This window comes from Homo sapiens, chromosome 9 (genome assembly GCF_000001405.40).
Source record: "Homo sapiens chromosome 9, GRCh38.p14 Primary Assembly".
NCBI classification, from domain to species: domain Eukaryota; kingdom Metazoa; phylum Chordata; class Mammalia; order Primates; family Hominidae; genus Homo; species Homo sapiens.
In genome coordinates, this window is record NC_000009.12 from 34,638,145 (window position 1) to 34,663,793 (window position 25,649).

The 25,649-nt window shown below is 52.0% G+C and overlaps 3 protein-coding genes across 5 annotated transcripts, besides 7 other annotated features; 2 read left to right on the plus strand and 1 right to left on the minus strand.

The window, feature by feature from the left end:
• Nucleotides 6,768-7,062: a silencer, noted in NCBI's record as "tiled region #8240; K562 Repressive non-DNase unmatched - State 23:Low". NCBI's record gives its function as "represses a minimal TATA promoter and a strong SV40 promoter by Sharpr-MPRA in K562 cells {active_cell/tissue: K562}" and the evidence as "EXISTENCE:reporter gene assay evidence [ECO:0000049][PMID:27701403]".
• Nucleotides 6,768-7,062: an enhancer, noted in NCBI's record as "tiled region #8240; HepG2 Activating non-DNase unmatched - State 5:Enh". NCBI's record gives its function as "activates a minimal TATA promoter and a strong SV40 promoter by Sharpr-MPRA in HepG2 cells {active_cell/tissue: HepG2}" and the evidence as "EXISTENCE:reporter gene assay evidence [ECO:0000049][PMID:27701403]".
• Nucleotides 8,276-8,385: an enhancer, noted in NCBI's record as "active region_28313". NCBI's record gives its function as "activates an Ori minimal core promoter by ATAC-STARR-seq in GM12878 lymphoblastoid cells {active_cell/tissue: GM12878}" and the evidence as "EXISTENCE:reporter gene assay evidence [ECO:0000049][PMID:35858748]".
• Nucleotides 8,531-12,891, plus strand: GALT (galactose-1-phosphate uridylyltransferase). 2 transcript variants are annotated; one of them, NM_000155.4, is made up of 11 exons: nt 8,531-8,642; nt 8,945-9,114; nt 9,348-9,423; nt 9,513-9,561; nt 9,688-9,817; nt 9,971-10,027; nt 10,190-10,312; nt 10,618-10,750; nt 10,854-10,937; nt 11,266-11,420; nt 12,225-12,891. In NM_000155.4, exons 1-11 carry the CDS (start codon nt 8,561-8,563, stop codon nt 12,303-12,305), a joined length of 1,140 nt encoding a protein of 379 aa, NP_000146.2. In that variant the 5' UTR covers nt 8,531-8,560; the 3' UTR covers nt 12,306-12,891. The 2 variants fall into 2 exon arrangements, with proteins under 2 accessions (NP_000146.2, NP_001245261.1); NM_001258332.2 differs by lacking the exons at nt 9,348-9,423; nt 9,513-9,561.
• Nucleotides 8,956-9,135: an enhancer, noted in NCBI's record as "active region_28314". NCBI's record gives its function as "activates an Ori minimal core promoter by ATAC-STARR-seq in GM12878 lymphoblastoid cells {active_cell/tissue: GM12878}" and the evidence as "EXISTENCE:reporter gene assay evidence [ECO:0000049][PMID:35858748]".
• Nucleotides 13,997-14,096: a silencer, noted in NCBI's record as "silent region_19854". NCBI's record gives its function as "represses an Ori minimal core promoter by ATAC-STARR-seq in GM12878 lymphoblastoid cells {active_cell/tissue: GM12878}" and the evidence as "EXISTENCE:reporter gene assay evidence [ECO:0000049][PMID:35858748]".
• On the plus strand, nt 14,041-23,758 carry IL11RA (interleukin 11 receptor subunit alpha). 2 transcript variants are annotated; one of them, NM_001142784.3, is made up of 13 exons: nt 14,041-14,089; nt 17,074-17,173; nt 17,461-17,521; nt 18,595-18,764; nt 18,891-19,005; nt 19,159-19,191; nt 19,277-19,443; nt 20,376-20,539; nt 21,615-21,756; nt 22,130-22,249; nt 22,360-22,456; nt 22,710-22,792; nt 23,338-23,758. In NM_001142784.3, exons 2-13 carry the CDS (start codon nt 17,074-17,076, stop codon nt 23,352-23,354), a joined length of 1,269 nt encoding a protein of 422 aa, NP_001136256.1. In that variant the 5' UTR covers nt 14,041-14,089; the 3' UTR covers nt 23,355-23,758. The 2 variants fall into 2 exon arrangements, 1 of the variants encoding a protein (NP_001136256.1); NR_052010.2 differs by lacking the exon at nt 14,041-14,089 and adding an exon at nt 15,769-15,855.
• Nucleotides 16,678-17,293: an enhancer, noted in NCBI's record as "H3K4me1 hESC enhancer chr9:34654819-34655434 (GRCh37/hg19 assembly coordinates)". NCBI's record gives its function as "activates a minimal SCP1, AML or CMV promoter by ChIP-STARR-seq in naive H9 embryonic stem cells {active_cell/tissue: H9 hESC(naive)}" and the evidence as "EXISTENCE:reporter gene assay evidence [ECO:0000049][PMID:30033119]".
• Nucleotides 21,484-21,985: an enhancer, noted in NCBI's record as "H3K4me1 hESC enhancer chr9:34659625-34660126 (GRCh37/hg19 assembly coordinates)". NCBI's record gives its function as "activates a minimal SCP1, AML or CMV promoter by ChIP-STARR-seq in naive H9 embryonic stem cells {active_cell/tissue: H9 hESC(naive)}" and the evidence as "EXISTENCE:reporter gene assay evidence [ECO:0000049][PMID:30033119]".
• Nucleotides 23,746-24,513, minus strand: CCL27 (C-C motif chemokine ligand 27). Its single transcript, NM_006664.4, has 3 exons — nt 24,420-24,513; nt 24,140-24,272; nt 23,746-23,935 (listed from the first exon to the last, which is right to left on the minus strand). Exons 1-3 carry the CDS (start codon nt 24,487-24,489, stop codon nt 23,800-23,802), a joined length of 339 nt encoding a protein of 112 aa, NP_006655.1. The 5' UTR covers nt 24,490-24,513; the 3' UTR covers nt 23,746-23,799.

The following is a 25,649-nucleotide window of genomic DNA, read 5'->3' on the forward strand; positions in this document are numbered from 1 at the left end:
GGAGAGGAGGCAGTTCAAGCTGGGAGCCCCAGGGTGGGCATTCCAGAGGCGGTGACACCTGAGCAGTGTCTTTAAGAGCTCGCAGAAGGGGCATGCCAGCCCACAGGGACCAGCCCCTAGAGCAAAGGCCTCCGAGGAGAGACAGCTTGGGGTCTTCAGGGGCCTACAATTCCTTCTCTGTTCTGCGGCACAAAATGTGAGAGGAGGCCTTGTAAACCAGCTGAGGGTTATCAGCAAGGGAGGAAGGGGATTAGATTTTGCCACCGAGTGGCACAGGACTGTCGAGTGGAGGGGAGCAAGATGAGTCAGGGAGACCATGACTGTGGGCCAGGTAAGAGGGAAGGTCTGTGTCAGTGGAGATGGAAGAAAGAAATGAGCTTAACAACTCTGGAAATGGAGTTGGCAGGGCTTGATCTCTTCTTCCTGGAATACTCTTTCCCCCTTTATCCTATCCCCACTTTCCCCTTATTTGGCTAACATCCTTTGCATGTCTAGTGGGCAGTTGAGTGTCCAGGTCTCGAAGCTCAGCTCCAGTCTGGAGATAGAGCTGGGAGTTGTCATTCATTCAGATACTTTGTTGGCACTTGTATGTGCCAAGTTCTGTGGTGGCCATTAGGGATATGGCTAGAAACAATGGTCCTACTCCCCAGCTTAGAGATCTCACTGGAGAGTCTACAGAAAACCTCTAAGAATGGATGAAATCTCACAGGGAGAGAGAATAGAGTAAGATAAGGCTAAAGACAGAGCCCTGGAGAGCACCAACAGCAAAGGGTAGGCAGAGGAAGAAGAAAGCAAAAAGGAAAAGAAACAAAAGAGAAAAGAGGTAGCATTGTGCAGTGATTAAGAAATAAACTCTGGAGCTGGACTGCCTGAGTTCAAGGCCTGGCTCCTGCTACCTACTAGTTGTCTGATCTTGGGCAGTTTACTTAAAATCTCTGTAACTTAGTTTTCTTACCTGTAAAATGGAATGGAGATAAGTACCTACCTCATAGTACATATCTTCATTGTGATGAGATTAGATGGGTTAATATTTATAAAGCAGTTAGTGCCTCACATGGTGAGAATTTTATGTGATGGTTATATATATAAAACATAAAGGAACTGGAAAAAAGTAGCCTCATACATTTTTGACCTTAAAGAAAGAAACTGAGGCCGGGCGAGGTGGCTCATAACTGTAATCCCAACACTTTGGGAGGCTGAGGCAGACGGAACACTTGAGTCCAGGTATTCGAGACCAGCCTTGGCAACATGGTGAAACCCCATCTCTGCAAAAAGTACAAAAATTAGTCAGGAGTGGGGGCGCACACCTGTAGTCCCAGCTACTCAGGAGGCCGAAGTGGGAGGATCGCTTGAGCCTGGGAAGTGGAGGTTGCAGTTGAGCCAACAGAGGGAGACTCTGCCTCAAAAAAAAAAAAAAAAAAAAAAAAAAAAAGGGCCAGGCACAGTGGCACACACCTGTAGTCCCAGCACTTTGGGAGGCCAAGGTGGGCAGGCAGATTTCCTGAGCTCAGAAGTTCGAGACCACCCTGGGCAACATGGTGAAACCTCGTCTCTACTAAAATACAAAAAATTAGCCGGGCGTGGTGGCAGGTGCCTGTAGTCCCAGCTACTCGGGAGGCTGAAGCAGAAGAATCGCTTGAACCCAGAAGGTGGATGTTGCAATGAGCCAAGATCGTGCCACTGCACTCCAGCCTGGACAACAGAGGGAGACCCTGTCTCTAAAAAAAAAAGAAAAGAAAAAGGGGCCGGGCACTGTGGCTCACACCTGCAATCCCAGCACTTTGGGAGGCCGAGGCGGGTGGATCACCTGAGGTTGGGAATTTGAGACCAGCCTAACCAACATGGAGAAACCCTGTCTCTACTAAAAATACAAAATTAGCTGGGCGTGGTGGCGCATGCTTGTAATCCCAGCTACTCAGGAGGCTGAGGCAGGAGAATCACTTGAACCCAGGAGGCAGAGGTTGCGGTGAGCCGAGATCACGCCATTGCACTGCAGCCTCAGTGTGAAACAGCAAAACTCCGTCTCAAAAAAAACAAAACAGGCTGGGCGGGGTGGCTCACGCCTGTAATCCCAGCGCTTTGGGAGGCCGAGGCAGGTGGATCACGTGGTCAGGAGTTCGAGACCAGCCTGACCAACATGGTGAAACCCCATCTCTACTAAAAAATACAAAAATTAGCCGGGCGCGGTGGCGCGTGCCACCCACTTGGCCCAGCTACTTGGGGGGCTGAGGCAGGAGAATCGTTTGAACCCGGGAGGTGGAGGTTGCAGTGAGTGGAGACTGCACCATTGCACTCCAGCCTGGGCGACAGAGTGAGACTCTGTCTCAAAAAAGAAAAACACACAAACAAAAACAACAGTGAGGAAAAAAAAAAGCTGAGGCAAAATTAATATAGAGAGTTTATTTGGGCCAAGGTAGAGAACGACTGCTCGGGACACTTTTCCAAGTTGCCTTGGGGAATGTTGATACAAGCATTTTTTATTTTTATATGTGGTTTTTATTTTTATTTTTTATTTTCTTGGAGATGGATTCTTACTCTGTTGCCTAGGCTGGAATGCAGTAGTGCAATCTTGGCTCACTGCAACTCCCGCCTCCCAGGTTCAAGCTATCCTCCTCCCTCAGCCTCCCGAGTAGCTGGGACCACAGGTGTGCACCACCATGCCTGGCTAATTTTTGTAGTTTTAGTGGAGACAGGTTTTTGCCATGTTGGCCAGGCTGGTCTCTAACTCCTGACCTCAGGTGATCCACACTCCTCGGCCTCCCAAAGTGTGGGATTACATGTGTGAGCCACTGCACCTGGCCACTTTATTTTAACTTAATTTAATTTTATTTTTTTTGAGATGGTGTCTCCACTGTCGCCCAGGCTGGAGTGCAGTGGCGCAATCTCGGCTCACTGCAACCTCTGCCTCCCAGTTCAAGAAATTCTCCTGCCTCAGCCTCCCGAGTAGCTGGGACTACAGGCACCTGCCACCACATCCAGCTAATTTTTTTGTATTTTTAGTAGAGATGGGGTTTCACCATGTTGGCCAGGCTGGTCTTGAACTCTGACCTCGTGATTTGCCCGCCTCGGCCTCCCAAAGTGCTGGGATTATAGGCGTGAGCCACCGCGCCCGGCCTATTTTTATTTTTTGAGACCGGATCTTGCTCTGTTACCTAGGCTGGAGTTCAGTGGCACGATCACAGCTCATTGCAGCCTTGACCTCTTGGGCTCAAGGGATCATCCTGCCTTGGCCTCCCAAAGTGCTGGAATTACAGGTATGAACCATCATGCCCAGCCACAAGCAAGTTTTTAAAGGCAAAAGAGGACAAGGAGTGGGCTGACACAAAATTGTTTAACAGGAATTCTCATTGGCTTACAGAAACAACATTGATTAGTGATTGGCTATACCTTGTTGAACTATAGGGTATGAGTTATGGTGTCTAGACTATGGCATTTTATGGCTATGTGGTATCAATTTAGAGCCCACATAGCAAGTGGCTTCAAGGGGTAATTATTTGGCTCCATGGGGGTGGGGGAAGGTGAGATATGACTGCTGTTACATGCTGTCACTTTTTTTTTTTTTTTTTTTTGAGACTGAGTCATACTCTGTCGCCCAGGCTGGAGTGCAGTGGCGCAATCTCGGCTCACTGCAACCTCCGCCTCCCGGGTTGAAGCGATTCTCCTGCCTCCGCCACCCAAGTAGCTGGAATTACAGGCACCTGCCACTATGCTCAGCTTTTTGTATTTTTAGTAGTGACAGGGTTTCACCATAATGGCCAGGCTGGTCTCAAACTCCTGACCTCAAGTGATCCCGCCCGCCTTGGTTTCCCAGTGTGCTGGGATTACAAGTGTGAGCCACTGCACCCGGCCTTTTTTTTTCTTTTTAAAATTATTATTATTATTATTATTATTATTTTGAGACGGAGTCTCTTGCACTGTCGCCGGGGCTGGAGTGCAGTGGCATGATCCTGGCTCACTGCAACCTCTGCCTCCCAGGTTCAAGCAATTCTCCTGCCTCAGCCTCCTGAGTAGCTGGGATTACAGGCGCCCGCCACCATGCCCAACTAATTTTTTGTATTTTTAGTAGAGACAGGGTTTCACCATGTTGGCCAGGCTGGTCTCGAACTCCTGACCTCGTGATTCGCCCACCTTGGCCTCCCAAATTGCTGGGATTACAGGCGTGAGCCACCGCGCCAGGCCCATGCTGTCACATTTTAATGCCTCTCTGGGCCTGATAATTAAAAGAGGCTGGCATTTCTCAGATAAAAAGTTTCTTTTCTTTCTCAAGAGTGATGGAATGGGCCAGGCACGGTGGCTCACACCTGTAATCCCAGCACTTTGGGAGGCCGAGGTAGGGGAATCACCTGAGGTTGCCAGTTCAAGATCCAGCCTGACCAACATGGAGAAACCCCATCTCTTCTAAAAATACAAAATTAGCCAGGCGTGGTGGCGCATACCTGTAATCCCAGCTACTCGGGAGGCTGAGGCAGGAGAATCGCTTGAACCTGGGAGGCGGAGGTTATGGTGAGCTGAGAGCACGCCATTGCACTCCAGTTTGGGCAATGAGAGCGAAACTCCATCTAAAAAAATTAAAAAAAGAGTGATGGAATGAAGGGTTAACACAGTGAAATATAATGGTGAGATTCAATGAGATGATGGGAAATGATCATTAGACTTCTCAGTAGGGGCATGTGGCAGAGACAATGCTATACATTCACAAATCCATTTCCTTTTGCTCTTGGACAGCTAGATTACATTCCACAGTCTACTCTGGATCATGTGATTGCATTCTGGCCAATGAAATATAGATAGAAATGATGTATGACATTTCTAGGGCTGGCTCCTAAAGTCTCCTCTGAAATTCTTTTTTTTTTTTTTCTCTTTCTCTTTTTAAGAGACAGGATTGTGCTATGTCACTCCCAGACTGGTATCAAACTCTTGGGCTCAAGTGATCTCCCACCCTGGCTTCCCAAGAGCTGGGGGACTACAGGCACATAGTACTATGCCCAGCTTGAAGTTCTTTACATTTTCTTTCTTCCCATGTCTATTACTGTAGTTATAGAGGATCTCTAGTGGAGTATTCTGAGACCCTAGGACATGGCATAGCTACTAGATGGATGGCACCTGGATCCCTAAATACTGCTTGGAACAGAGCTCCCTGTTACCCCCAGAATTGACTGTAGTGCTAAGCCATTGAGTTTTGGGAGTGTTTGTTACAGCAATTAAGATTACTTACCCTGACAAATATAGGGCAAAAGATGTGTTACAATATACCATGCAGCTAAGAGTAGAGACCAGAAAGATGGCCTCTGTTTTTAAGAAACTTGGCAGGCCGGGCACGGTGGCTCACGCCTGTAATCCCAATACTTTGGGAGGCAGAGGCAGGCGGATCACCTGAGGTCAGGAATTTGGGACCAGCCTGGCCAACGTGGTGAAACCCTGTCTCTACTACAAATACAAAAATTAGCTGGGTGTGGTGGTGCACGCCTGTAATCCCAGCTACAGGGGAGGCTGAGGCAGGAGAATCACTTGAATCAGGAGGCGGATGTTGCAGTGAGCCTAGATTGCACCACTGTACTCCAGCCTGGGCGACAGAGCGAGACTCCATCTAAAAAAAAAAAAAAAAAAAAAAAAAAAGAAACTTGGCAGAGAAATTAAGGATAAAGAAAGGATTATCTAGAGGAGAATACAGGATTGAGGGAACATGTTTTTGTATTGGTTCTGGCTTCTGTGGCATTCCCGACTCGACAATTCACTAAGAACCCTGGGCAGCAGGGATTAGCCCCCAAATTTGGTCTCTGCTCCCCATTCCAGGAACAGCTTTCTGGGATCATCTGGGCCTACACCTCCCCTATCTGGTCTTTCAGAAAGCTTTTCCAGGCCTTTCCAGGTGTGGTGACTTATGTCTGTAATCCCAGCACTTTGGGAAGGCCGAGATGGACAGATTACCTGAGGTCAGGCGTTCAAGACCAGCCTGGCCAACATGGTGAAACTCTGTCTCTAAAAAATACAAAAATTAGCTAGTCATGATGGTGGGTGCCTGTAATTCCAGCTACTCGGGAGGCTGAGGCAGGAGAATCACTTGAACCTGGGAGGCAGAGGTTGCGGTGAGCCGAGATCAAGCCACTGCACTCCAGCCTGGGCAACAGAGTGAAACTCCGTCTTAAAAAAAAAAAATTATATATATATATATATATATATATATATATATATATATATATATATATATATATATATAAATGGATAACCAGCAGCCCTCAGGGGTGCTCTGTCTATGGAGTGGCCATTTTTTTATTCCTTCACTTTCCTGATAAACTTGCTTTCACTTCACACTATGGACTCACCTTGAATTCTTTCTTGTGTGAGATCCAAGAATCCTCTCTTGGGGTCTGGATTGGGATCTCTTTACTGTAACAACACCTCTGGGATCTGGCAGGGAGGGAGCTGGTTAGGCCCATCTTAGTCATTCTCCTCTTCCTCCAAAAAATGACCTTGGGGAGTCATAGAGGAGAATTATGGAGATGTTCCTGAAGAGATGTTCCTGATGGGGGTCAGGATTTAATTAGCATGATTCAGGGGGCGGCACTGAAGCACTGGTGTTCTTGGGAAAATGGAGCTGTCTACAAGCTCTAGTCACTCAAACAAATATAAATGAGAGAATGGAAAAGCAGATCTCCTGTTCCTGTCTCACCTCTTTGGGTAATATGAACAGCCAGTGGGACAGGTAAAACCCCTGTTTCTCAGTCCTCAGCTCCCTGCCCCCTACCTCTGAAGGTAGCCTCTTCCTATTCCAGTCTGAGGACCCTAGGGCAGAGATCAAGTAAATGACCCATGACCTAGTTTTTGCAGCTCAATTGCAAAACACCTGGCTTGGCTTGGTCTTGATTGGGGGAAGGGATGTCCCTGCTATGGCTCAACTTCTAACTCACTGGGTCTCTGTCCTGCATTCCACTGAAGCCTCAGAGGCATCTCACAGCACTGGGAAAAGCCTTGGAAACTTGCATTCAAATCTCAGCTTGGCCACTAATTCTCTGGGTGACCTTGAGTCCTCTGGGCTCCAATGTGAAATGGGGAAGAGGTTTAGACAATATTTAGATGGCTCTTTAAAAGTACTGGGGGCCAGCTGTTTGGGAGGCTGAGGCAGGAGGATCACTTGAAGTCAGGAGTTCAAGACCAGCCTGGCCAACATGTGAAACCCCGTCTCTACTAAAAATACATAAATTAGCCCAGTGTGGTGGCACACAGCTCTAATTCCAGCTACTTGGAGGCTGAGGCAGGAGAATCGCTTGAACCTGGGAGGTGGAGGTTGCAGTGAGCCAAGATCACGCCACTGCACTCCAGCCTGGGTGGCAGAGTGAGACTCTCTCTCAAACAAACAAACAAACAAAAGTACCAGGGGAGGAATTAATTTGAATTTTATCCTAGTGTTAGCCAATTGGTCCCATCCAAGGAAAATTTAGAAAAGGGAAGGGGATGTGTAAAGGAAACACTAGGCCCCACCTAGATGGTGGCTGGAGCTTCTGATAGTCCTGTACTCTCCACATTTTTAGACTTTCTTGTACTTTTTTTTTTTTTTTTGTGACGGAGTCTGCTCTGTCGCCAGGCTAGAGTGCATGGGCACAATCTCGGCTCACTGCAACCTCTGCCTCCTGGGTTCAAGTGATTCTCCTGCCTCAGCCTCCCGAGTAGGTGGGACTACAGGTGCACGCCACCAAGACCAGCTAATTTTTTTTTTTTTTTTTTTTACTAGAGACGGGGTTTCACCATGTTGGCCAGGATGGTCTCAATTTCTTGACCTTGTGATCCGCCTGCCTTGGTCTCCCAAAGTGTTGGGATTACAGGCGTGAGCCACCGAGCCCGGCCATTTTTAGATTTTTTTTTATAGCCCTTTTACCCCTCCCACTTCTTGTGCTGTCTTGGTGTGTGTATGAAAAAGAGAGAGAGAGAGAGAGGAAGGAGAGCAAGAGTGAGAGAAAAAGAGAATATGGTTACTTAGCCCTTTTTCCCAAATCTGTTTTTGCTTTTGGGGATAGGATATGGTTATGGTGAAGTACTCCACACAGACCCCACCAAGTTTGCCTCTCCTGCGCTACAGCCACTGAGCAGGTGACTGAGGCGCTGTTGATCCAGGGTCATATCCTTACTCGCCCTAGAATGTAAGCTCAGGCAGGGCAGAGGCCATGCCTGACATGTGCATCCCAATGCTTTACACAGCCTAGGTGCCTAGCACATGCTAGATGCTTGGTAAATATTTGCTGAATGAAAGATCAAATGAATGATTGCAGCAAGCAAGTCCTGTAGGCATCCTGGAGCCCAAGGATTCTGCAGTAGGCAGCTTTCACAGAGGTTCTTCCAGTGTAGTGGCTCTAGCTCTGGGTGAAGTAGGATCATCAATGTCGGCCCCCAGGGTTCACAGCTGTTCTGAGCCCCGCCCCCAGGTGGCAGGGCAGCCCAGTCAGTCAGTCACGTGCTGGCGGCTGGCCAATCATCGGGGGCGGCGCGGGGAGGGGTGGTGTGGACGGAGAAAGTGAAAGGTGAGGCACGGCCCTGCAGATTTTCCAGCGGATCCCCCGGTGGCCTCATGTCGCGCAGTGGAACCGATCCTCAGCAACGCCAGCAGGCGTCAGAGGCGGACGCCGCAGCAGCAACCTTCCGGGCAAACGGTAACTGCACCGCGGCAGGGACTCGCTGGGGCGCGGAGCCGAGCCCTCCCCTTCCTTAGGAAGCTTTCGTCCCCTCCGAAGGTTGGAACGCTCATCCCGAGCCAGACCGACAAGGCGTACAGTCTGCAGGCCTGTACGAGCAGCAGGCCAATTGGCGCTGGGAAAGTCCAATCCTGGGCCTCTAGCTCCTGAGCGGGACAGGGCCGAGAGGGCGCTCCCGAGCTTGGGCCTGCTGGTGGGTGAGACCCAGGAGAGAGGGAGCTAGAGAGCTCTGAGGACTGATCTTGACTGTCTGCCCCCAGACCATCAGCATATCCGCTACAACCCGCTGCAGGATGAGTGGGTGCTGGTGTCAGCTCACCGCATGAAGCGGCCCTGGCAGGGTCAAGTGGAGCCCCAGCTTCTGAAGACAGTGCCCCGCCATGACCCTCTCAACCCTCTGTGTCCTGGGGCCATCCGAGCCAACGGAGAGGTAAGCCTGTAGAGCCCTGCATCTGCAGGCTGGGCCACGGGGAGTAGTTCCCTCTTAGAACTGTCCTCCACCCACAGGGATAGTGAACCTCCTTCTGGGTCATATCCCACCAAGCTTTTTGGTCCCCTAGGGTGGGCCTTCCCTACTCCCTTGTAGCCTGTCCAGTCTTTGAAGCCCACCAGGTAACTGGTGGTATGGGGCAGTGAGTGCTTCTAGCCTATCCTTGTCGGTAGGTGAATCCCCAGTACGATAGCACCTTCCTGTTTGACAACGACTTCCCAGCTCTGCAGCCTGATGCCCCCAGTCCAGGTAACCTGGCTCCAACTGCTGCTGGGGAGGAGGGTGGCTAGACCTCTTGAGGGACTTCTGCTGCAGAGAGTGATACTCCTTTACCTCAGGACCCAGTGATCATCCCCTTTTCCAAGCAAAGTCTGCTCGAGGAGTCTGGTAACTATGGATTTCCCCTCTTACAACTTTCAAACCAGAGTTGGAGACTCAGCATTGGGGTTCGGCCCTGCCCGTAGCACAGCCAAGCCCTACCTCTCGGTTATCTTTTCTCCCGTCACCACCCAGTAAGGTCATGTGCTTCCACCCCTGGTCGGATGTAACGCTGCCACTCATGTCGGTCCCTGAGATCCGGGCTGTTGTTGATGCATGGGCCTCAGTCACAGAGGAGCTGGGTGCCCAGTACCCTTGGGTGCAGGTTTGTGAGGTCGCCCCTTCCCCTGGATGGGCAGGGAGGGGGTGATGAAGCTTTGGTTCTGGGGAGTAACATTTCTGTTTCCACAGGGTGTGGTCAGGAGGGAGTTGACTTGGTGTCTTTTGGCTAACAGAGCTCCGTATCCCTATCTGATAGATCTTTGAAAACAAAGGTGCCATGATGGGCTGTTCTAACCCCCACCCCCACTGCCAGGTAAGGGTGTCAGGGGCTCCAGTGGGTTTCTTGGCTGAGTCTGAGCCAGCACTGTGGACATGGGAACAGGATTAATGGATGGGACAGAGGAAATATGCCAATGATGTGGAGGCTTGGAGGTAAAGGACCTGCCTGTTCTTCTCTGCTTTTGCCCCTTGACAGGTATGGGCCAGCAGTTTCCTGCCAGATATTGCCCAGCGTGAGGAGCGATCTCAGCAGGCCTATAAGAGTCAGCATGGAGAGCCCCTGCTAATGGAGTACAGCCGCCAGGAGCTACTCAGGAAGGTGGGAGAGAGCCAAGCCCTGTGTCCCCAAGGAGTCCCTAACTTTCTTATCCCATGAGAGAGGTGTGTAAAGGAGAAAGCTAGAGGTGAACTAGTAGAGAGAGACTTGCTAGGAGGCCTTAGCAATAATCCAGTAATCTAAAGGAAAGATGATGGTGACTTAGACTCGGGTGGTTAGTGGTAGAGGTGGTGAGAAGACATCAGATCCTGGGCACATTCTTTTCTTCTGCTTCCCTTGCCTATTTGCTGACCACACTCCGGCTCCTATGTCACCTTGATGACTTCCTATCCATTCTGTCTTCCTAGGAACGTCTGGTCCTAACCAGTGAGCACTGGTTAGTACTGGTCCCCTTCTGGGCAACATGGCCCTACCAGACACTGCTGCTGCCCCGTCGGCATGTGCGGCGGCTACCTGAGCTGACCCCTGCTGAGCGTGATGGTCAGTCTCCCAAGTAGGATCCTGGGGCTAGGCACTGGATGGAGGTTGCTCCCAGTAGGGTCAGCATCTGGACCCCAGGCTGAGAGTCAGGCTCTGATTCCAGATCTAGCCTCCATCATGAAGAAGCTCTTGACCAAGTATGACAACCTCTTTGAGACGTCCTTTCCCTACTCCATGGGCTGGCATGGTGAGGCTTTTCAAGTACCTATATTTAGCCCCAACACCATTTCTGGGCTCCTGGGGCTCAGCCTAGTGAACTGCAACCTCAAAGGAGCAAGCCTTGAAACAGTTGCTGGGGGAAGTGGCCAGAGTAGAGATGCTGGGACTGAGGGTGGAGCAGCAAACTTGGTGAAACTACATCTCCAATGTGCTTTCTAATCTCCTGCCAGCTCTTCTCAAGCAGGGGATCCTGGGAGATGTAGTTTTCAGATACCTGGTTGGGTTTGGGAGTAGGTGCTAACCTGGATAACTGTAAAAGGGCTCTCTCTCCCCACTGTCTCTCTTCTTTCTGTCAGGGGCTCCCACAGGATCAGAGGCTGGGGCCAACTGGAACCATTGGCAGCTGCACGCTCATTACTACCCTCCGCTCCTGCGCTCTGCCACTGTCCGGAAATTCATGGTTGGCTACGAAATGCTTGCTCAGGCTCAGAGGGACCTCACCCCTGAGCAGGTCAGGACTCAGAACAGTCTGGCGTCTCCAGACTCTCACATGCAGTATGTGCAGGCACCTGATACTTCTGTTGCCCTTGTGCTCCAGTCATTGCACAAGGCAGAAAACAGCTCTGGCAGGAAGGGACTGCCAAAGTTAGGAGCCCTAGGGCCTGGAAGGAGAGTATGGTCCTCAGATCCCCCTTCTCTCCTGCTTCCTCCAGGGAACCCAACAGTCATGACCCTGATAGTTTCCCATAACAACCTGGGCATTCCTTGGGACTCAGGAGCTGCTAAACTCTTTCATCCCCTGGTGGCTTCAGCAGTCCTTATCACCAGCCTCACAATCCCACAGGCCCACCCCCAGTGGGCCTGTGGCATTCATATTTCATATTCATATTTCAAACCACAATATCCAGCAAAATGTCTCCTGAGCACCCAGAACTCCATACCATCGGCCGGGTGTGGTGGCTCATGCCTTAATCCCAGCACTTTGGGAGGTCAAGATGGGAGGATTGCTTGAGCCCAGAAGTTCGAGACTAGCCTGGGAAACATAGGAAGCCCTCGTCTCTACAAAAAAAATTTAAAAAGTTAGCCAGGTATGGTGGCATATACTTGTGGTCCCAGATACTTGGGAGGCTGAGATAGGATCACTTGGGCCCAGGAGTTTGAGGCTGCAGTGAGCCATCATCATGGCATCATTGCATTCCAGCCTGGGCAACAGAGCAAGACCTCGTCTCAAAAAAAAAAAAAAAATGAAGTCCATGCCACCATTCTTGGCAGCCCAGCCCTTATCCTCCTTAATTGCTCCCTGTCCCTTTTCCAGGCTGCAGAGAGACTAAGGGCACTTCCTGAGGTTCATTACCACCTGGGGCAGAAGGACAGGGAGACAGCAACCATCGCCTGACCACGCCGACCACAGGGCCTTGAATCCTTTTTTGTTTTCAACAGTCTTGCTGAATTAAGCAGAAAGGGCCTTGAATCCTGGCCTGGAATTTGGGCAGATATAGCATTAATAAAACTGTGCATCTCAAACTTTTATCACATACTCTAATATCAGAGGAGTGTGAACCTTCAGAGATCTAGGGTTAAAAGCTAAAGGCATAGCTCCAGCTACAACTTTTCTTTGTCTACAGATGTGTAAAATCTTGATGCAAAAATCTACCCCAAATTTCTGAACAAAATTAATATTCAGTATTATATCTAGCCTATAGATTCTCTTACTCTTGGTGTAATGACAGCATTCCCAGTTTAGGAAACTGTTTTAAAATCTTGTGTCTTGGTTGTGGCTGAGGCTTTGGGAAGGCCAGAGCCCCCTTTGCCACCACCCCTAGGGTGTCAGCTCCAAGCCTGGGCCTGAGGGTTTGATGGGGAGCGGGTGAGCTGGATCCTGATCCCAGTGGTCAGTGGCCAGATCCTGGGCTGCTGGCCAGAACCCTGGCTTTGTGAGTGGCTGCAGCTTGGCTCTGCTCCAGCCCACAGGGGCTAAAGGGGCGGGTAGGGAGTGTGTAGGGAGCGTGTACGTGGCTTTGTGTCCTTGGCTCCTCCAGACTCTCACATGTGCGGGCACCATATACTTCTGCTGCCCTTGTGCCCCAATCATTGCACAAACAGAAACAGCTCTGACAGAGAAGGGACTGCTAGAGTTAGGAACCCTAGGGCCTGGAAGGAAGGTATGGCTCTCAGAGTGACCTGGGGTCTATTCAGTCCCCTCTGGACCTGTTTCCCTGGCAACGCTGTGGGAACAACAGTCTATGCAACACAGGAGACCTGATGCCACTGGTGTCCTCCAAATTTTAAGGCGAAGGCAGGCATTGTGAATGATGCAGGGATGGCCAGAATGGTTTTTGCCTTCGTTCTTTCCCCAGGGGAACCAAGCCTGTGGGTGGGGAAATCACACTAAGGCTGGACAGTGACTGAATCTGGCCCAGGAGAAACTTGGCTGCCTGCCTTCCAGACCAGGGTTTTTCTTCCCTGAGATCCTGGAGGGGAAGTACCTGGAACTTGGGAGTGTTGCCCTGGTCTGGAAGATCTGATAGACATAGTATGCACACATTTCCCTCGAGCTTCCCATGACTGGGGAGTAGATGAGAACCCTGAGTGGGTGGCTGGTTTCTTGAGGCATACATATACCCGACACACCTTACACCTCTGATTTGGCTGCATTTTGGAATCATCTGGGAAGTTTTAAACAATACTGGTGCCTAGGTCCAACCTCCAGAGACTCTGATTTAATTGGTATGGGGTGGGGTTTTGCAGTTTTCAAACCACAATATCCAGCAAAGTTTGAGAACCACTGCCCTACACAGCCCTCCTTCTTCTTTATCTTATCTGGAGTCAGGGGCACCTTCAGCTTCTCCAATCACCTGGCCAGTGGCTCTTGTTTCCAGTCCTGCTGTTCCAGGGTGGATAGGCCTTCAGGCGGAGACCCAGGAATCCAGCTCCAGACTCTGTCCCAAGCAGCCTCTTCAGTCCGGGACGGGACAGGAAGTGTCCGGCGGAGGTGGGGGTGGAGGTGATTGGCAGTTGGAGTCTCCAATGGGCCAGGAGCCCCCCTATTTCACTCCTCTCCTTCCATTGGCGCCTGGGCGGAGCCACCCCCGCTGCGGGGGCCCAGGGCGGGAGGGAGTAGAGGCCGGGGCAGAGGGCGAGGGCGAGGGCAGAGGGCGCTGGCGGCAGCGGCCGCGGAAGGTGAGGCCTGGTGTAGACGCCAAAGTCTTGTCAGGAGTGGGCGGGGCAGGGTGATGTATGATCTGAAAGGCCGGGAGTGACTAACGACTGTCAGTGTGTATGTGCCTGTGAGGCTGTGTCTGTGTGACAGTATCATTGTGTGCGATTCTGAGTGTCACTTGGTGCAGCTGTCAGCTAATGTGACTGCGTGTGTCAGTGTGCATGGAGCTGGAGGTGCATGTGGCTGTGCAAGTGTGGGATTATGTGTGTATCTGTCAATGCACATTTTTGGTGGGACTGGGTTGTGTGTTTGTGTGAGAGGGACTGTGACCACATGAGGGAATGTGTTTTGGGAAGGTCTCTGTGGGGTTTGAGACCATGTCTGCCAGCGTGAGAGTGGGTGGCTGGCTTTGTGTGTGCCAATGTGTGACTTCAGCAGTAGCAGAGCAAAAGTGAGGTTTGTGACTATGTGTGTGTCCTGGGTCCTAACTTAAACCGTGTGGGAGTACAGCTGTATTCATGTATTGGGGGACCTACCTCAAGAGCCCATGGGACTGACCTTTCTCTTAAGTGTCCAGCATTGACAGACACACCCACAACACACGTGGCTTCCCCTCCTTCCTCTGCTCAAGAATCCCCAGCATCAGGTCTACTGCTCCTTATTTTCTGTTTCCCTGCTTGGCTCAGTTTCCCTTACGTGCCGTTTTCTGTCCCTATTGCTGTCTTACTAGAGATACCTCTGTGTGTTTCTTCACAGCTTTGTTCCCCTGGTCTCTCTGTGTGGGTGCATTTCCAGTTTTGCCTTTCCTTTCTCTCTGTCTCTCTCTGTGCCCCTATGCCTGCCTTCCCTGCTGATCTTGATCTCTGGCTAGTTGGGGGCCTGTAACAGTGATGAGATGCGGGTCTGCCCCGGCTAAGAGCTCCCTGAGAGAGGGGGCTTAGACCATGATGAAGAGTTGCTTTTAGGCGGTGCTGTGAGCCCTGGTAGGGGCTGTGTGCGTGTGTGACTGCGTGAGTGTATGAATATGTGTAAGTGTGTCTGAGTCTGAGGCGGTGTGGCTGTGCCCGTGTGACTGTGAGTGACCGCATGTGAGAGTGTATGAGTCTGAGGGTAACTGTGGGTCTTGTGTATCTGGCACCAAGGGACCAAAGGCATTTCCTGGTGCTGGGGCCCAAAGAATGGAGGGGGAGGTGAGAAATGGCTGGAACTTCCAGGGGAGGGGGAACTGGACTCTTTGGCCTCTCCTTATATCCCCCAACCTGGGGCCTCCCTTCCCCTGGAAGCACAGCCAGCTGTACCCTAAGGAAACATTTGGTGAGGAGTGAAAAGAGGGGGAGTTTGTATCTGATTTTTCATTTGATTGTGTCCACGTGTGTTCAAAGGCATGCCCTTTTGTTAACTGTGCCTCTTGAGTCTGTGTGTGAATGTGACTGTGTCTGGCTGTGTGAAAACACAGGGCATCTCTCACTGACAGGGACATAAGTATTAGCCACCCTCCTTTCCCTCTTGCTGGCCTTGGCTGTGTCTGTGGCTTCCTTTCCAGACTTGGGGGAGGCCTCTTCCCTTCCCAGGGCCTTGGGTGGGAGGGAAGGAGGGAGGAGGCAGGAGCAGGGAGGGGGCCTGGCTAGGGGCGGCAGAGCTCCAGGGCTTAGAGGGGGCGGGGCAGGGAAGGGGAAGGAGGGGATGGCTCTGGGGTCCCAGAACTGAGTGGAGTAGGAGACGGGGGCTGTAGCTGGTGAGAGGAAGTCCTAGAGGCTATGGACACTCTGCTGCTGGGATCACCGAGGTAGGGTGGGGCTAAGCAGGGTAAGTGTGGCTGGGTGGCCAGGGGTGAGCCAACTGGACACACTCAGACAGACACACAGACAGGTGGAGGCCCTGCTCTGCTCTACTCCTACTCCTGAAGGGTCCGTGCTCTTCCTCTTCTGGTCTTGTTCCCAGAGCCCTTTCCCCGCCTGCCCCTTCGTTCTCCATCCACTTCACCACTGCCTTCCTCCTTCTGCTCCCCCTTGTCCAGAATCTCTCTCTCCTAGCATCCCCCACCTGCCATATAGACACACTGTTAGCTTTTTGAGTTTCCGCTGACCCCAATCCAGTCTTTCCAACACTTCCCACACTGCCCCATCACCTCCTAGTCCTGATCTCTGAGTATCTCTTGGTGCTGTGGCCCCCATGCCTGTCCCTGCAGGCTCCCAGTTCCTCTCAGCCTCTCATCCCCTTCCCTCCCCTCCCCTCCCCGCCACCCTGTCTCCATTTCCATCTGCTGGCTCCTCGCCCACCCCCAGCCTCTGGCAGCAGCCAGGGCATCTGGATCTGCTTAACTACACAGCCCCAGCCTGCACCCTAGCCCCATCCAGCTTCACAAACTGGAGACCAACGAAGTGTCAAGAGCCAGGCCCAGCTGAGTGGCCCAAGTAGCCAGACCAAGGAGCCAGGTTCAGGCGAGAAGCCTGGCAGCCAGGGCAGGGGTGGGCCTCAGGGTGGGAGTGCAGGATGGGCTCAGATCCATGATGACACCCTTCCCCCAGGGTGATAAGGTCTGCCTAGGTTAATCAGAGGCAGTGATAAGCCCTGGACCAGGTGGGGGTAAATACCAGAATTCCCAACAGCTGGACTGGAGGGGTTAATGGGAGTGGCTGAGCTGGTGCCAGTGCTTGGTGCCAGGGGTGGGCGCCAAGGGCAGTGGAGGGGGAGTTGCTGGCACAGTCTGTTGCCTCCGGCTTTTGTTCTGGGCCCTAAGCCCAGGACTGAGATGGAGGGTGTGAGGGGGTGTGTGTGTCCGTGTGTGTGTGTGTGTGTGTGTGCGCGCGCACGCACATGCAAAGCACTGGGTATACAGTGGGAAAGGGGACCTCAGGTCAGTTCCCGCAGTGATTTCTAACAGCCTTACCCCACTTGGTGCATCAATTTTTCTCCTAGGAAGCCTCAGTTTTGGAGAGGAAGAGCCAGGCTTTAGCCTCCCATCTCAGGGGTCGGGGATTTTTGACTCTACCTCTCCCCACAGATGAGCAGCAGCTGCTCAGGGCTGAGCAGGGTCCTGGTGGCCGTGGCTACAGCCCTGGTGTCTGCCTCCTCCCCCTGCCCCCAGGCCTGGGGCCCCCCAGGTGAGAAGAACCCTGCTCTACAACCTCCCAACTCTGACTTGTGACTTGCCACCCTCACTGTGGCCCCTTCCCATGCCTAACTTGTGACACCACCCCTGCTCCTGTCATCCAACCTGGGTCCTCTCTCTACCCTGTTCTCTGACCTCTGTCTCCAGATTATAACATGATGCTTTGATCCAGTGAGCCCCCCACCACCCAGGTTTTAACAGTCTGCTTCTTATCTGTCATTCTCACAAAGTGGGGAGGGGGGTAAAGGAAGAGCCTTACCTCAGAAGTGCCCTCCACAGGGGTCCAGTATGGGCAGCCAGGCAGGTCCGTGAAGCTGTGTTGTCCTGGAGTGACTGCCGGGTAAGTGCCCCACCTGCCTGTTGGTCTGACACTCATGACCCTTTCTTGACTCTGCCTAGTCCTCATGTCCCGCCCCTCCCATCCTTGCCCGCTCTGTCCGTAATCCTCACCTCTCTATCTGTCCTAACCGTCTAACTATCCTTATTCAACAGAAAATTCAACTGGTATGTTTTGAGCATCTGCCAAGTGCCAGGTCTATTCTAGGCTCTGGGATACAGCAGTGCTAATGCCAGGCAAGGTGCCTGCCTTCAAAGAGCTTACATCTTAGTGGGGAAGACAATAAGCAAAGGAGAATCTTGCCAGATAGTAATACCTGCAGGGCAGAAAAACCAAAGTGAGGGATGTCGAAGAGGACAACTGAGTGGTTACTTTTTTTTTTTTTTTTTCCGAGAGTCTCACTCTGTTGCCCAGGCTGGAGTGCAGTGGTGCAATCTGGGCTCACTGCAACCTCTGCCTCCTGGGTTCAAGCAATTCTCCTGCCTCAGCCTCCCAAGTAGCTGGGATTACAGGTATGCGCCACCAGGCCCGGCTAATTTTTTTTTGTATTTTTAGTAGAGACGGGGTTTTACCATGTTGGTCAGGCTTTGAACTCCTGACTTCAAGTAATCCACCCACCTCAGCCTCCCAAAGTGCTAGATTACAGGCGTGAGCCACCGTGCCTGGCCCGTGGTTACCTTTTAATTGGTAGTTAGGAAAGGTCTCTCTGAGGAGATGGTGTTGAAGCTGATTTCTGAAGGTCAGGAAGGAGGCAGCCATGCACACATTAAGGTATAAGCGCTCGTGACAGAGGGAGCAGCTAGTGCAAAATGTCCTGAGGTGGGAATGAGCTCAATACCCCCGAGGAATAGAAAGAAGACCAATGTAGCTGGAGTTTTCAGTGGGTGAGGGGGAGAGAGATAGGAGCTGAAGAAGGAAAGGAAGGCAAGGGCTGGCTCACAAGGGGCTTTGAAAGCCAGTAAAAGGAATTTGGGTTCTATTGCAAATGCAGTTAGAAGCCAATGGAGAGCTGTGGCATGGTCTGACTTATGCTTGACATCTTGTCTTTGTCCATTGTCACCTCATCTCACTTCCAGGGACCCAGTGTCCTGGTTTCGGGATGGGGAGCCAAAGCTGCTCCAGGGACCTGACTCTGGGCTAGGGCATGAACTGGTCCTGGCCCAGGCAGACAGCACTGATGAGGGCACCTACATCTGCCAGACCCTGGATGGTGCACTTGGGGGCACAGTGACCCTGCAGCTGGGCTGTGAGTTGGGGAGGGTGGCACTGATGACACATAGGGATCCTGAGGGAGTATGGGACCTAAGTAAGCCCTCTGGGACCAGGAGGACCTGAGGACTGCTCAGTCTCCAGGTGTACCCTCTGCCTCTAGACCCTCCAGCCCGCCCTGTTGTCTCCTGCCAAGCAGCCGACTATGAGAACTTCTCTTGCACTTGGAGTCCCAGCCAGATCAGCGGTTTACCCACCCGCTACCTCACCTCCTACAGGTGTGTGTGTGATTGGGTGTGGATGCCTACACATTTGGGTATGCTGGTGCAATGTGGGTGTGGGAGGCAGGGAGGTAGGTTCTGAGGAAAGCCTCAGAGAGGGCAGAAGGCCCTCTTTTCCTTCCTGACTTCAGATGGCCCCCTCCCCACCAGGAAGAAGACAGTCCTAGGAGCTGATAGCCAGAGGTAGGACGTGAGGGAGCATGTGGGGGCTCCAGCTGGGTCCCACAGTAGGCATTTTCAAAGCCAAAGACCACATCCTCCCTTCTAGGAGGAGTCCATCCACAGGGCCCTGGCCATGCCCACAGGATCCCCTAGGGGCTGCCCGCTGTGTTGTCCACGGGGCTGAGTTCTGGAGCCAGTACCGGATTAATGTGACTGAGGTGAACCCACTGGGTGCCAGCACACGCCTGCTGGATGTGAGCTTGCAGAGCATCTGTGAGTACCCACCCCAGACCTCCCCCAGACCCCCATCACAGAGACCCCAAATGGACTCAGATCTCTCCACTCCCAGAGTTCCCAGTTTCCTCCCAACCTAGACTCCATTTCACACAGAGAAGGCCCTGTGGAGCCTGAGAAGGCAAAGGGATCAGAGCCCAGGAGGCATGGTTATTTCAGCACACACTCTAGAGGCTGCTGCTGCTACCCACACTGCCTGATTGGCTGCCTAGCCTCAGAGCAGGCCCTGTACCGAATGCAGCCATATGTCATGTCCTCCCTTGCTGGCCCCTCCTTCCTTGACCTGTGCATGGGAGTGGGACACTAAAACTCTAGCTGGAATTTGGGCCAATTCATCTTCCTTGGATGAAAATAGGAATTGCTCTTTTATTCACTCAAGAAGCACTTCAAAAGTCCACCCGCAGATCTCAGGTGGTTTCTTTTTTTCTTTCTCTTCCTTTTTTTGTTGAGATAGGGTCTCACTTTGTGCCCAGGCTGGATGAAGTTCAGTGGTGTGATCTTGGCTCACTGAAGCCTGCAACTCCTGGGCTCAAGCTATCCCCTCACCTCAGCCTCCCAAGTAGCTGGGATTACAGGCATGTGCCACCATGTCTGGTTAATTTTTAAAATTTTTTGTAGAGACAGGGTTTTGCTACGTTGCCCACGCTGGTCTCAAACTCGTGGCATCAAGTGATCCTCCCGCCTCAGTCTTCCAGAGTGCTGAGATTACAGGCATGAGCCACCACACGCGGCCTCAGCCCATTTCATAATACAGATGACCGGTCTGAGTCTAATGGATGATCAAGTTTAAGATTTCCCCTCCCCTCTCAGGAGTGTCTGGCTAAGGCTCCTTTAAACACACACTTTGGGAAGTGGTGGGGAAGTGATGGAGACCCATAGCCTACCCTGACTTTGTGTCTTGATGCCCTTAGTGCGCCCTGACCCACCCCAGGGCCTGCGGGTAGAGTCAGTACCAGGTTACCCCCGACGCCTGCGAGCCAGCTGGACATACCCTGCCTCCTGGCCGTGCCAGCCCCACTTCCTGCTCAAGTTCCGTTTGCAGTACCGTCCGGCGCAGCATCCAGCCTGGTCCACGGTGAGGCCTGGAGTGCGTCCCAACCCACGGCTGTGGGTCCTGTCTCTGATTTCACGATCCTGGGTGTTCTGTATAGCTTTCCAGTGCTGGCAGGTCACTGAAGACCCAACACTTCCCTGTGGGCCAGGCTTTGTACTGGGTGCTGGGTTGCAGTGGTGACTGAGAGACTGAATGTCTGTCCTGTGGGGCTATAACTATGAGGTAAAGCACATCTGTGGGAAGATAGCAATGGCTTTTAAAAAAATAACTTTTTTTTTTTGAGAGGGAGTCTCGCTCTGTCACCTAGGCTGGAGTGCAGTGGTGCAATCTCGGCTAACTGCAACCTCCACCTCCTGGGTTCAAGCAATTCTTCTGTCTCAGCCTCCCGAGTAGCTGGGACTACAGGTGCCCGCCGCCATGCCTGGCTAATTTTTGTATTTTTAGTAGAGATGGGGTTTCACCATATTGCCCAGGCTGGTCTCGAACTCATGACCTCACGATCTGCCCACCTCGGCCTCCCAAAGTGCTGGGATTACAGGTGTGAGCCACGGCGCCCGGCCTAAAAATAACTCTTAGGAAAAGGAGTGCCTTTCACCTAGAGGCACATTCTCCTACAAACACTCATATACCCAGCTGAGGATAGCAGTGAATTTGTGTCTCAGGAGATGTTAAAGATTGGCTGGTATCAGGACTAGGGAGCAGCAGCATCAGATAATAACTAATATTTACTTAGTGCTGCCTGCCTGTGGGGTACCTGGCTACACTTTTTGCATACATTGTTTTGTTTAGGTAGATTCACCTCTATTTTACAAATGAAGAAACTGAGTCACAGAGAGGCCCAAAGGGTCATTCAATATGTGGTTCACCAAAGATTTGAACCCAGGCTGCCTGATGCCACAGCCTCTCTAAGTAATCACTACTGCCGTCTTACAAACACTAGGTGTAGACTCAGCTCCACCAGACACCCAACATGAGACCTAGACAGCTCCACTAGGCTTTAGGATGAGACTGGGAGCAAGGGGTGCTCTTTGTAGATGGTGGCTGGGAAGGCCCTGCACTTACAAGCTGGGTAACAGTGAGTCATGTTTACCCCCAGGTGGAGCCAGCTGGACTGGAGGAGGTGATCACAGATGCTGTGGCTGGGCTGCCCCATGCTGTACGAGTCAGTGCCCGGGACTTTCTAGATGCTGGCACCTGGAGCACCTGGAGCCCGGAGGCCTGGGGAACTCCGAGCACTGGTGAGAGACAAAGCCAAAGAAAAGGGCAGAGGCCCCATCCCAAAGCATCTATCAGCTGAACCAGTTCCAAAAGACAGGCAGGTGGCACATGCCCTGCCCACACAGGCACGGCAATTGCTGTCCCAGACTTCAGACTTGTTTGCCTACAGCCCTGTCTTAGCTTAAGTCCTGCCCCTTGGCCTCCACCCCTGCAGTTACAGGCTCCACTTCTACAAGCTTGGAGCTTGCCATGCTCCCTAGGAGCTGGCCATGCCCTATCAGGCTCCTCCTCCTAGGTACCTTGACTTCCAACCTAGGCCTTGGCCTTGAGCACAGGACGTGACCCCCGTCCCCACCAGCGTATGGACACTTATTGGGTCTTGCCTTCCTTTAGGGACCATACCAAAGGAGATACCAGCATGGGGCCAGCTACACACGCAGCCAGAGGTGGAGCCTCAGGTGGACAGCCCTGCTCCTCCAAGGCCCTCCCTCCAACCACACCCTCGGCTACTTGGTGAGCTTGGGCAGATGGGCAAGACTTGTAAAGGACTGAAAACCCCAGAGAAAAGGGGACACCGAGCTTGGTCAGGCTTGCTCTCAGTGACATGTGGCCCTCCCCCTCAGATCACAGGGACTCTGTGGAGCAGGTAGCTGTGCTGGCGTCTTTGGGAATCCTTTCTTTCCTGGGACTGGTGGCTGGGGCCCTGGCACTGGGGCTCTGGTAAGTGACTGCCATTGGTCCCTCAGCCTCTGATCCTCACACATGCTCTGATGCCCATAGACCACATTCATCTCCACCCTTCATGACTGCCCGCTGAACCTGTCTGATTCTGGAACTACCTCCCCATACCTCCATCCCCCATGCCCCACTTGATTTTAACTGATTCCTCTCCTGACCCTTTACTAATAAACCCTTTGGCGGAGACTGAGATAACCCACATTGTTGGAGAGACAGCTGCCTTTCTATGCCCCAGGCTGAGGCTGAGACGGGGTGGGAAGGATGGATCCCCAAAGCCTGGGTTCTTGGCCTCAGTGATTCCAGTGGACAGGCGTCCAGGTGAGTAGGACATCCAGAAGATTTGGACTTGGAGATGTTTGCCCCTATTTTGAGTGTCCAGATTAAGAGCTGGCTGCCCTAGTCATTTTAAAACATGCTGGGAATCCAAGTTGGGTCTCCTCATTTTAATGATGTCTAGGCTGAGGGCTGGGCCTTTCATTCTTGAGTCCCTGGGCTCAGAAGTGGGTCTCTTTCCCTCCTCTCAGGGTACTGAGGAAGGACCCCAGGTGGACTTCCCTTCAGGGTATTAGTATTAGTACTAATACTCTTCCAGGGTATTAGACTCAGAGCTGGATATTCATCCTTTTTTTTCAAGGTGTCTTGGATCAGTGCTAGGTCCCCTCCTTCATTCTTAATGTGCCTGGGCCCAGAGCTAGGTCCACTCCCGTATCTTCAGTGTGTTGAAGAGGCTCCCTCAGAGCTGGGCTCCTCTACTCATCTTCAGAGTGTTAAGCTTAGAACTGAGTCACCTCCCTCATTCTCAGGGTGTCTGGGCCAAGATCCGGTCTTACTGTCTCTCCTGATTTGCCTCCTGCTTCTTCTAGGAGCTCCAAACCTGTAGAGGACCCAGGAGGGCTTCGGCAGATTCCACCTATAATTCTGTCTTGCTGGTGTGGATAGAAACCAGGCAGGACAGTAGATCCCTATGGTTGGATCTCAGCTGGAAGTTCTGTTTGGAGCCCATTTCTGTGAGACCCTGTATTTCAAATTTGCAGCTGAAAGGTGCTTGTACCTCTGATTTCACCCCAGAGTTGGAGTTCTGCTCAAGGAACGTGTGTAATGTGTACATCTGTGTCCATGTGTGACCATGTGTCTGTGAGGCAGGGAACATGTATTCTCTGCATGCATGTATGTAGGTGCCTGGGGAGTGTGTGTGGGTCCTTGGCTCTTGGCCTTTCCCCTTGCAGGGGTTGTGCAGGTGTGAATAAAGAGAATAAGGAAGTTCTTGGAGATTATACTCAGAAATTATTATCCAATGCTGCTTTATTATTTGGCTATTGGGGGCTTCAGCCCATTTTCCTTAGCATCCCAAAATTCAGCTTGGGCAGAGTCCCATGGAGCTTTCTCTCTTGGTGCTCAAACCACTGTGACAGGCTGGGGTTCTGGGGGTGGATGCAGATGCTGCGTTGAGCCAGGTGAAGCCTGGGTAGAGAAAGGTCCAAAGCTATGACCATAGCTTGGGGATGAGATTAGGGTCATCCCCAATGACCCTAATTAGGGGTTAGGAGCAAGGACCAGATGAAAACCTGAGTTGGCAACAGAATTAGCAGTTAGGGCTGGGGTTGGGATCAGCATTAGGGGTTGGGACTGAGGTCAGAGTCAGGGGTATCAGGGGTGGGAGCTCACACGAAAGCCTGGAGGTGACAGTCCCCGTCAGCCTCCTGCAGTTCCACCTGGATGACCTTCCTCAGTAGCTTGTCTGAGAGTGGCTTTCGGTAGAGCTGAGTACAGCAGGCAGTGCTGGGTGGCAGTAGGAATGCTAGGGGCAACAGGGCCATGTGTTCAGAGGGATCCTGACCAAGAACCTCTCTGCCAGACAGCTGGAGGTTAGGTTGGATTTCCTGGGTCTTTTCAACTTCATCCCATTCACCCAGACCCCCAGCTTTCTATACCCCCAAGTACTCACCTGCTGTAGGGTCTGGGCTCAGGAGCAATGACAGCAGCAGGAGGCTGCAGAAGGTTGGGGGCCCCTTCATGTTGCTCAGCCTAGACTCTTCCTTCTCTCTCTCTCCTCCTCCCCTACCTTTTATCTGGGTGCCTTTTACCTGGGGCACTAGGTGAGTCAGAGGCAGTTGGAGATGTACTGTGTAACCTGTGACACTCCTGGGCCCTAATTCTCGGCCTGTTGCCACAGACTCCTTCCTCATCTAGGATAGCCATTTCCCATGTGCTCCTAAGCTCTGGGCAGTGAAGCTGGGGGAAGGATTAGTGTGTGATGTAGGGACTGATGGAACAGTGAGTAAGGGCAGTCAAGCATCCACAGCAGCATCTAATGATAGACATTCACACTCAAATACGCATAGCCACACATTCAAAGTCACTCCTCAATCACTTGGTCAACCTCACAAAGTCATACTCATGATCAGACAACCGTAGACAAAATTATATAGCCCCGGTTATACTCAAAGTCCCTCTCCCACCCAATTGTGTTTTCACAGTCATCCAATCACAAGCAAATTCACACTAGCACACACAGATTCTGACAGGGGAGTTGTGGGTGGGGTGGGAGCAGAGGGCAGGCAAGCACCAACTTGCCTTCACCTTCTCCTCCCCACTTCCTGGCTTGGCCTGCCTGTCTTATCAGAAGAAATGGATGGGAATGGGTCCCTAGAGCAGGCCCTTCTGGCTGAGGAGGGTTCTTGGCTGAGGCCAGCCCCATTCAGAGAAGCTGGGGGAAGGCCCTTTATGGTAATATTAAGGGTGTTTTGGAGATGCTGAGGTGGGGCAGCTTTCCCCAGGATGATGAGACAGGGAGGAAAGGTGGGGTAGATAAGGAGGGAAGATAAAAGCTCTTTGGTGCTAGGTTACTGTTGTCAAAACAGGTAAAAGGCCCAGTGAATCTTACCTTCCTGTTTTTGTCTAGTCCTGTTCCAGGAATGCCAACCTCTTGCCAGCAGGGGCCTAGGGTCTCCAGATCCAGTCCCTGACTTGTTGAAGACATTGGACTCAAGCACTCAATTACATCTTTGTTTTACTCAAATTCCAGCCTCCTTCCTGGGCCTGGAGGAACATCCCCTCTCCCTACCCGGGTTCAGTCACACCCTCATGTCCAACTGCTATACCCCCTGCATCCCACCCTCCAGCTATAGCCGCTTCTCTCCTAATCCCATACCCAGCTGTCACTCCGTTCTTTACC

Excerpts from the sequence above, each read along its gene's own strand:
- GALT (NM_000155.4), top strand. The coding sequence starts at position 8,561 with ATGTCGCGCAGTGGAACCGATCCTCAGCAACGCCAGCAGGCGTCAGAG. Across the intron at positions 8,643-8,944 it reads AGCAACCTTCCGGGCAAACG|ACCATCAGCATATCCGCTAC; the intron begins GTAACTGCACCG and ends GTCTGCCCCCAG. Across the intron at positions 10,028-10,189 it reads ACCCCCACCCCCACTGCCAG|GTATGGGCCAGCAGTTTCCT; the intron begins GTAAGGGTGTCA and ends GCCCCTTGACAG.
- IL11RA (NM_001142784.3), top strand. The coding sequence starts at position 17,074 with ATGAGCAGCAGCTGCTCAGGGCTGAGCAGGGTCCTGGTGGCCGTGGCT. Across the intron at positions 19,192-19,276 it reads CTAGGAGCTGATAGCCAGAG|GAGGAGTCCATCCACAGGGC; the intron begins GTAGGACGTGAG and ends CCTCCCTTCTAG. Across the intron at positions 22,250-22,359 it reads ACCACACCCTCGGCTACTTG|ATCACAGGGACTCTGTGGAG; the intron begins GTGAGCTTGGGC and ends CCTCCCCCTCAG.
- CCL27 (NM_006664.4), bottom strand. The coding sequence starts at position 24,489 with ATGAAGGGGCCCCCAACCTTCTGCAGCCTCCTGCTGCTGTCATTGCTC. Across the intron at positions 24,273-24,419 it reads GAGCCCAGACCCTACAGCAG|CATTCCTACTGCCACCCAGC; the intron begins GTGAGTACTTGG and ends TGTTGCCCCTAG. Across the intron at positions 23,936-24,139 it reads TGTCACCTCCAGGCTTTCGT|GCTTCACCTGGCTCAACGCA; the intron begins GTGAGCTCCCAC and ends TTCTCTACCCAG.